At 40.3% G+C, this 8,925-nt stretch overlaps 1 long non-coding RNA gene across 1 annotated transcript, besides 2 other annotated features; it reads left to right on the forward strand.

Moving 5' to 3' along the window:
- Window positions 479-1,067: an enhancer, noted in NCBI's record as "NANOG-H3K27ac-H3K4me1 hESC enhancer chr10:3871602-3872190 (GRCh37/hg19 assembly coordinates)". NCBI's record gives its function as "activates a minimal SCP1, AML or CMV promoter by ChIP-STARR-seq in primed H9 embryonic stem cells {active_cell/tissue: H9 hESC(primed)}" and the evidence as "EXISTENCE:reporter gene assay evidence [ECO:0000049][PMID:30033119]".
- Window positions 1,068-1,656: an enhancer, noted in NCBI's record as "NANOG-H3K27ac-H3K4me1 hESC enhancer chr10:3872191-3872779 (GRCh37/hg19 assembly coordinates)". NCBI's record gives its function as "activates a minimal SCP1, AML or CMV promoter by ChIP-STARR-seq in primed H9 embryonic stem cells {active_cell/tissue: H9 hESC(primed)}" and the evidence as "EXISTENCE:reporter gene assay evidence [ECO:0000049][PMID:30033119]".
- On the forward strand, window positions 5,019-5,797 carry LINC02639 (long intergenic non-protein coding RNA 2639). The gene is made up of 2 exons (NR_134490.1): window positions 5,019-5,306; window positions 5,550-5,797. It is a non-coding gene; the product is annotated as a long intergenic non-protein coding RNA 2639 (long non-coding RNA).
- The last annotated feature ends 3,128 nt before the right edge of the window (window positions 5,798-8,925 follow it).

Here is an 8,925-nt window from a genome sequence, read left to right on the forward strand (position 1 = left end):
ACCCACCCCCTCGTTTCTGAAAAATTACTAGTGAGTCTTTTGACCTTTCATTTAGTCACGTGAAGTTTTCATGGGTAATTCTTTCTTTCCCTTTAAACTACAATCAGAATCGAAACTGAAACTAAGAAAAGCTCAAGGACGTCAGTATTTGTCTTTTAAGCTGTTAACAAAAATAATAAAACTCTGAAGACTGTTGTCAAAAAACACAATGGTGGTATGATGAAGAAAAGATTATATATGCAAAAACAGACATCAAACCTTAGTTTAGTTTCTAGTAATATAAAATACAAAAAACATATAGAGAGATTTTTAAAGGGGGGTTGGCATTCCCGTATTCACACTGTAGGTCTAAGGAACATGAATGTATTTTGAAAGAATGTCAGAATGACTTAGATATGAAGGAGACACCCACCTCTATATATTCCTAGCCCCTAAGTACCATATTTAGAAAGTAGTTAAATTCTACTGCATTTGTCTGGGAACTTCAATAGAAAAGACCCATACAAACAAAACCGTATTCTCTTCTCAAAAAACAAAACAAGAAAGTACAAGAGCTTCCCATGAGGGTGTCTTTCAGTGCCTGAACTTGGTGTTTGATAGGACCAGGACATGTGGAAGCTTCTGGAAGGCCTGTCCTGTTGCACTCACTCCCTCTGCACTTCCTGGGCACTGTCTGGGGTCTCTGTGCCTGTGTCCCTGTGGACTGAGAGCTGGGCTGAGGAGGCTGTTTCCTGACAATGCTTAGGATGCCTCAGTCTCCAAGGAGAGGCTCTTCCTGAGCTTGTAGCTCAAAGATTATCTTGCTACCTGGCACTTGAGCATGGGGGGACCGACTTTGCTTCCATCCTCCCAGGCAGGTTGCCCGACCTTCCTTTGTGCCACCACAGAACTCCACATTCATCCCTAATTTGGATGTGAAAACTGCCCAGCAGGGGAATGAGCCGCCCCAGGCTGAGGGCCTTGTGATTTATCTCTGTGTTCCCAGTGCCTAAAGCAGGACCAGGCACAAAAGGGGCTCAAGTTGGTGTTGATGTGAAAGAGCCCATGAATTCATGCTTGTCCTATGAGCCAAGCCCAGGAGTTTGGTGCTGGAGTTACGTGGCCCACTGGGCCGTGTTTTCCTGTGCCTTGGGGGCTGCGTATCGAAGCCCTTGCACTTCTGGGGAGAATATCCTTCTAAGGCCATTCTCAAAGTTGAGTGCCCTCTGCAGGGGGTGTGGTGGGGGAGGCAGCGGTGGAGAAAATGAACCGGGGACCCTCCCTATCTTATCCCTCTCTTAGACACTCAAAATGCCCCTGGCATATTTTAGGGCTCTAAGAATTCACGAAAGTCTGCTAAACATTATTTCAGTTAGTATTTCCCATATTAATTGACCATATAGAACTGTTTAAAAAATAGACCTCTTGGCTGGGCACGGTGACTCACACCTGGTGGCCCCCAGCACTTTGGGAGGCCGAGGCGGGCAGATCACCTGAGCTCAGGAGTTCCTGACCAGCCTGGCCAACGTGGCAAGACCCCGTCTCTACTAAAAACACAAGAATTAGCCAGGCATGGTGGGACACGCCTGTAGTCCCAGCTACTCGGGAGGCTGAGGCAGGAGAATTGCTTGAACCTGGGAGGTGGAGATTGCAGTGAGCCGAGATCATGCCACTGCACTCCAACCTGGGTGACAGAGCAAGACTCTGTCTCCAAAAAAATAAAAATAAAACACCTCTTATCCCTGGAAGCAGCTCCCATGGAAGAGTAGGAAGCGATGTCATGATCTCACCTAAGAGGACGTTGAATTTGGACCTGGTTTGCGTCCCGCCTCTGAGGCTCCCCATACCTTCTGACCATTGGCATGTACGGTACCTTCTCAGCAACATGTGGATAATATTAGGAAGTAGAAACAACACTTGGGAATTCTAGCACAATGCCTAGAACACAGTAATCATGTCATATGCTACATACCAGCAGGGAACAGAGCTGCAGAAAATGCTAAAACTGATTTGATAAAAGAGGCTTTTTTTTTTAACCAGTTGTATGAAGGCCTTCAGACTGGCTGTCTGCACCTCTAAATACCTGTCATCTAGATTAGGATTTTAATATCATCTATTTAAAAAATATTAATATGCCCACTGTTTGCTTTTCTATTATTGACTCAAGCATCAGAGCCAATTAAGAAAGGGTTCCAGACAACAGGCCCCAGCACACTCAAAAAGTAAACAACACATTCTTCTGAAATGCCATACTTTGCACTGAGCTCAGAAGAGTCCTGCAGTGAAATGTTAAAGAGTCTGATAACAGTTTGTGAGACAAACACAGACAGGGCGGAGCATGCAAATCAGGACATCCATTTTTTCCCATTAGGGAGATGAGATTTTAATCTGTTTTCAAAATGATGGAGAAATGTTTGAACTTCTACACAGAAGTAACCCTTTCCCCAGAAAAGGAGAGGGTTTTCTGCAAAATGCCACCAAAAATTATAAGCAATTCCTATTTCAAATAGTATCTGTAGAGATTTGATTTGCATCCTAAATAGGGATTTGCAGATTAGCTATTTATAGCATTCCATACACAGAATGCCAACTGATTTTAATACCACTCCTGGGCTTTTGTAATAGGAGATGAAAGGGGAAAAAACAACTTTCCGAAACGTACAGCTTTATTTTTTCCCATTTATTTAATATTTGGAAAGATCAGCTGTATATTGCAAAAGTGGTTATTTTGTTTGAGATTAGCTTTCTTTCAGAAGTTAAATCAATTTTACTTCTGTTGTATTCAACTGCCGTGATTTAGCTGGAACATGGAAACACAGAAAATGAAGGCGGGGAACATGCCTTCATTTGGCATCAGGCTTGGACAGAAGAGAGAGAATTTCCCATTTCCTATTGAAAGAACATCTGCATCAACATTTTCTAAACAACACTGAGCATTACATTAAAATGATATCTTCGATGTATTGTTTCTACTTGGAGAAATTACACAGGCTACAAAAGAGTCACTTCTCCGGATGAATGACATAATAGGGACACAGGCAATCATATCATTGTGATGACTTTTAGAATCTGTAATTTGCACCCCTCTTGTTGGTGCCCTAATGATACTGCCATGAACTTATGTAACAGCATGAAGAATTCTGGATGTTAAAAATTAAGTCTCATATTTGTTCTTATATCCAATTTAACCTGAATTAAATGTATGCTTTGGGAGAAATTGTAGTTGGAGCAGTTTTAGGTTGCTTGGGTGCATCTGAAAAGTCACGACATACCATAGAAATAAAACAGCTTCATTTTGTTTAGTAAGCACTTACTAAATGTCTGCTCAGCAAAGGTATAAGGCAATGGAAGTATGAGAATGAATTTGTAATTACAGTAAAATGACCAGACAGCCAATTTCCTCAAAAATTAAGGAACGGCCGGGGGTGGTGGCTCATGCCTCTAATCCTAACACTTAAGAGGCTGAGGCAGGCAGATCGCTTGAGTCCAGGAGTTCAAGACCAGCCCTAGCAATATGTGAATCCCTGTCTCTACAAAAAATTAGCTGGACAAGATGGTGTATTCCTGCAGTCTCAGCTACTCAGGAGGCTGAGGTAGGAGGGTTTGAGCCCAGGAGACAGAGTTTGCAGTGAGCTGAGATCACACCACTGCACTCCAGCCTGGGCAACAGAGTGAAACCCTATCTCAAAAACAGCAAAAATAAAACAGAAACAGAAAAGAGAAAGAAAGGAGTTTCATATATAACAGTTTGGTGATAGTGTCTCCATTTTCATAACTTTTATGTGAACTAATCGTTTTCCCTACAATTACTCTGTGAAGAAGTTCATGTACTATAACTCCCATTTTATGAGTGAAGAGACAGAGATTTAAATTTCAAGGTGTCCTATGGTTAATCACTTTCTTCAGGATGAAGACCACAGCCACGTATCCTGTCTTTTTGTTCAGTGCTTTAACTTTATTCAACGGTAATAGCTTATGAAATGAAAGAGATGAAAATATCTTACCATTCATCAAGTGGACGAGGATGATGTTTAAGGAAATGTAATAGACCATCACTGAAATACAAAACTCTTTCTGTCAGTATCTTTATTCTCTAAACACTGGCTAATATTGCAGAGCCTGGAGGCAAGTTTATGTCTTTCTTTTAAAGATGCTTATCAAAGTATAAAGCATTATTTGAAATCAATTGAAAGGAGATTTTTTTCTGAAGGCAGTGTCTGGCTAGTCTTGAAAAAGAGAAGACATTTTCTGAGAATCCCACTGGGAAAGACAGAATCTTTATAGAGGCAGAAAAATAAAGGTCTGTAGACAACCAGAGCTGACATGAATGGAACAGTTTAGAAAAGACACACAACATCCCGACGGGAGGCCGCGTTCCTGGAAAGCTAGACTATCACACAGCTGGCAGGTGGAAAATAAACCCTTAGACATCTCATGCCTGTATCAGGGAGTCTGTCAGGGGGGTGGTGCCCTAAGATGTCGTGGGCACAGGTGCTGTCAAATATTTTGAAGTAACCGGGTGTGGTGGCTCACACCTGTAATCCCAGCACTTTGGGAGGCTGAGGTGGAAGGATCACTTGAGCCTAGGAGTTTGAGACCAGCCTGGGCAACATAGTGTGACCTTGTCTCTACAAAAAAATTTAAAATTTAGCCAGGCATCGTGGCATCCACCCCTAGTCCCAGCCACTTGGGAGGCTGAGGCTGGAGGATCACTTGAGCCCTGGAGGTTGAGGTTGCAGTGAGCTGTGATTGCACCACTGAACTCCAGCCATGGCAACATAGCAAGACCATGTCTCAGAAAAACAAAAAAAAAAGAAAAAAAATAAAAACCAAACAAACAAAAAAGTGATATTCCAGGGTTTTCCTAAAGTGCTCCCAAGGTTCCCTGGCTCAGACCAACACCTGTTCAGAAGTCCTCCTGCCCGTCCTGAACTGCTCCAGTAATCCCTCATTCAGAGGACGGGATTACAAGGATTCTTCTGAGCAGCTGCTGTGCCCCAAGGATGCTCCCAGGGCTTGTCCTGTACCCTCTGAATGGCAGTAACAGTGACACTCCAAGACCAAGAGAGAGGCCGCCCTGGTGGGGTTCCGCTTGCTCACTCGCGCGTGGTGCAGTCTGGGGCACATTATTTATTTAAGCCATGTGAACTCCAGCTGCCAACCTAAAATGAGGATGATGCTACTATCTACTTCATGGATTATTCTGAGGACAAAAGGAGCTAACCCACGTACAATGCACGGCTCTCCACCCAGGACTAAGAAAGGTTCACTGCAGTGGCTTCTGTTTTTGATGCTGTATCAGTAAGTCATCAGTTTAATGAAATGAGGTAAGTACTACATCACCCTCAGTCCAGGGAAAACTAAGTGTCTTATCCAAGGATGTACGTCTGCAGGAGGGTAGCAGGGGAGAATGGGGCCGGCTGGATCCCTAGTAGTTTCTGAGATCCAAAGACGGTTTCTAGAGTAGCTCTTGAGGACAACCAGCTGTCATACAATACGTACTCATAGGAAAGGCTTTGAGAAGGATTAAATGCATCTGTGTTTGAATTTTGTGTATCCCTCCTCCTCAGCAACACCTGATCCCTCTGTCTGAGACACATGGATGAGATTCCTGAGAAGGAAGCTGGGCGGTTGTTTCTTGGTTTGGAGCAGAGGAGGAAGTGTTACATATGGTGTTGAGATGCTGGCACTGGATCTCACCCTTCCTCTGTATGACTGTCCTTCATGTGATAGGACCACACTTGTCACCGTCCTACCTACATCCCAGCGCCAGTCTCCACCTCATCCAGAGGCGGTTAATAAATGCTCCCTCAATGGATGTCAAACAAGTTTTCATTATGTGTAAGAACGATTTCTAAAACCAGGTCTTATTGTCCCCTTGACTGTGGTCAAAAAATGTTTAGAATTATAGATAGATAGTCACAAAACATTGAAATCCCTATGGTGAAATTATCATCAGCTCTATTTTATATTAGGTTGCCAATTTCTGCAGACTAGATTATTATCTTGTGTAGGGAAGCCACTGGGTTTATTCATCTTTGTTTCAGTAAATGTGCATATCACCCAGTTCTTTTTCATTTGCCGCCTCAGAAAACATTCTTGCTATTGGATTAAATTTAAAAAGATTAAGTAATAATTTAAAGATTACTAAAAAATATCATGATTTATAGTCTTTGAAGAAAATGAAGAAGGTCAAAAGTTTAAGAGACCTCAGTGAAGTTGTACAGAATTGCAAAACAATTAGTATATTTACTCAACAGTTTTCAGCAATATGTACTAAATTGGTTGAATTAATGATGGCATTTAATATTAAACACATTTTAACTTTTTTATTCTAATTAATAAAACTTTGAGCTAAAGGTATCTTAAATATCTGTTATATTGAACTGAAAATTGCCCATGATATGGGCATAAAATGTCTTACATATATTCCTCTTATAAATGTTTTATATACTTAAGAAAATTGTATTCTATACACATATAATTGAATCTTTGTTAGTTATTCTAACATCAGTTATACATCTGTAAAACTGATTTTTAAACTTGTTCAAATTAATAATTTCCAACTGTTTGTTAAATCTCTTAAAATTGTATTAAGTCTGCTGATAACTGTTAATAGCAATGTAAATAGACTGACCTATTGAGTAATATTAAACCATTTGTTTAAATTTTTCCTCTATGAGGGATTTGAAAACTACACCAACTTTACTGTTACTTCCTTCTGAGAAAAACAAAATTTAAATAAACAATTCCCTGCTCCTTCCTCCAGTACATAAAATATATACAGGTTTTTTTAAAAAATCAAACTACTTTCTGAATTTTCAAGTCATTTTTTGAGATTGTTCCGTTGTTGAATTATGATTTTGAATTAAAAAGAAACTAGTCGCTTAATGAGTTAGCTGCTTGTCAAAGGCAGACAGAAGTTCTGTCAACCGTTTCCAGCAGGAGTCGATTTCACAGCCAACGACAATCAGCAGAAGCAAGTTTACAAATTACAGGCTGAGGACAATGGGGCAGAGATAAGCTACTCTATTAAAAGCAGGAAAACACAGAGGCCCCACTCTGCTTGCTTCGCAGGACTTCCCCATGGAAGTTCCTGCTTTGCAGCTTAGTATTCCCCTCGAAGCATGGGTGCTGTTGCTAACAACACAGCAGTGGCTGGACTTGCTACTGATGCTCTCTTAGGGCATCCTGGTTGGTTCAGTGTATATGGCAGACCCCATATATCTTTAAAAGTTATGGGACTCATAGATGTTTAAATCTGTGCCACAGAATTCCAACATGCCAGCTACTCTCTCATCAATACAAGTCAACAACAGCATGGCACTGTCTTTTTTCTCCCCAATTTGTATAGATTATAGTGTGGCCTCAGTTTTTTTTCTTGTATTCCTGCTATACCTAAATACTTTCTGGAAAACTCATACTTAATTTTAAAGGTATTTATGATCATATGCATTTGTATCTCTAGCTCTCTTGTATTGTAAAGCATTCGTATCTAGAGCTAGAGTAAATGTGAAACTGTCTGATATTTTTCACTTTGTTTTAAAACTGCATGGGTAGCAATGTCTTCAATCTTAGCTTCGTGGAAAATAGCATTTCTACATTTCCTGGATTTGATCCAACTATTGAAATTGAAAATTGAATTGAAAATTGGAGCCACACATCTTGTCAAGTCCACCAGTGCTCACAATTGGGACTAGTGGTTTACAATTACCCAGGGGAAAATCCCACTCTAAAAGAACTCAGTCTCACCCTGACCAAATAAGGCATTCATAATGCAACACTTCTGTAATACTTATATTCACACTGAAATAAAGCTTTCATTTGAGAGCCATCTTACATACACACTCATATGTTATTTGTTAATATTATTTGTATTTTTAACTGTCAAGCTAAGTAATTTAGTGCTCTTTTCTTCCCCCAGCAAAATAATACACTCACAAGACACACACATAGGCACAAATCTCACATGTAATTGAACATTTCTCTACCATTTTTGACAATGTACCAACCGTGTTTCAGCCACATGGAGTTAATGGAAGCACTGAGTTGCCAACCCAACTATTTCTAGTATTTATTGAGGGCGACACTTCCTCGGAGATGGGAAGGACTCTCAAGTCAAGGACTTGGTTCAGATCCCCGCTTCACCAGTTCATACTTCAGTTCCCTGTGCCTCAGTTTACTTATGCAAGATATGGCACCTACCTCCTGTGTTTCTTGTAAGGATAGAATCAGTTGATATATTGGAAACAATTAGAACAATATCTGGCATATAGTAATTGCTGTATTTGTATTGGTTTTTCATCTCCCCAAATTAAAAAAAATAAACAAAAACTTCTAGATTTCTTGTAAGCATAGAATCAGTTAACATACTCCAAACAATTAGAACGATGTCTGGCATATAGTAATTGCTGTGTTTGTATTGGTTTTTCATCCCCCCTCCATTAAAAAGAACAACTCACCATCTCACAATTATTCAGAATGGTTTAAAAATTAAATTTAAATCACATCCTTTGAAAATGTTTGTGTAACATATCTGTTCATGAGTATGTGACTGATGATGTCTTTCTGACATCTGTGCGTGGTTTCAATCATTCTTATTAGTTTAATAGTGCTCTGCAGTAATTTCTCGACACTTCTCAAACGTAAGTGATTCTCTGGGAATTTTCATCTAGCTTCTAACTCCCAGACAGCAGAATCATACGAATAATTTTGGGAGCCCCCAAAGCTATTCATTCTCTTGGTTTAAACTGGGCTAAAGAAACTCAGGGTCCAGTTCTGAGATGACACGATTTTCTAGAATGATTAATTAGTCCCCTTGGGTCAGAGCCATTTCACCCCACTTTAAACATTATTTCTTCTAAATGCAATGCATCACAAATCCTCCATGCTGCCTATTAGGTGGCTCAGAGAAGTGAGAGGGCAGATAATGCCCATTAGATGAAG

This window comes from Homo sapiens, chromosome 10, assembly GCF_000001405.40.
Source record: "Homo sapiens chromosome 10, GRCh38.p14 Primary Assembly".
NCBI lineage: Eukaryota > Metazoa > Chordata > Mammalia > Primates > Hominidae > Homo > Homo sapiens.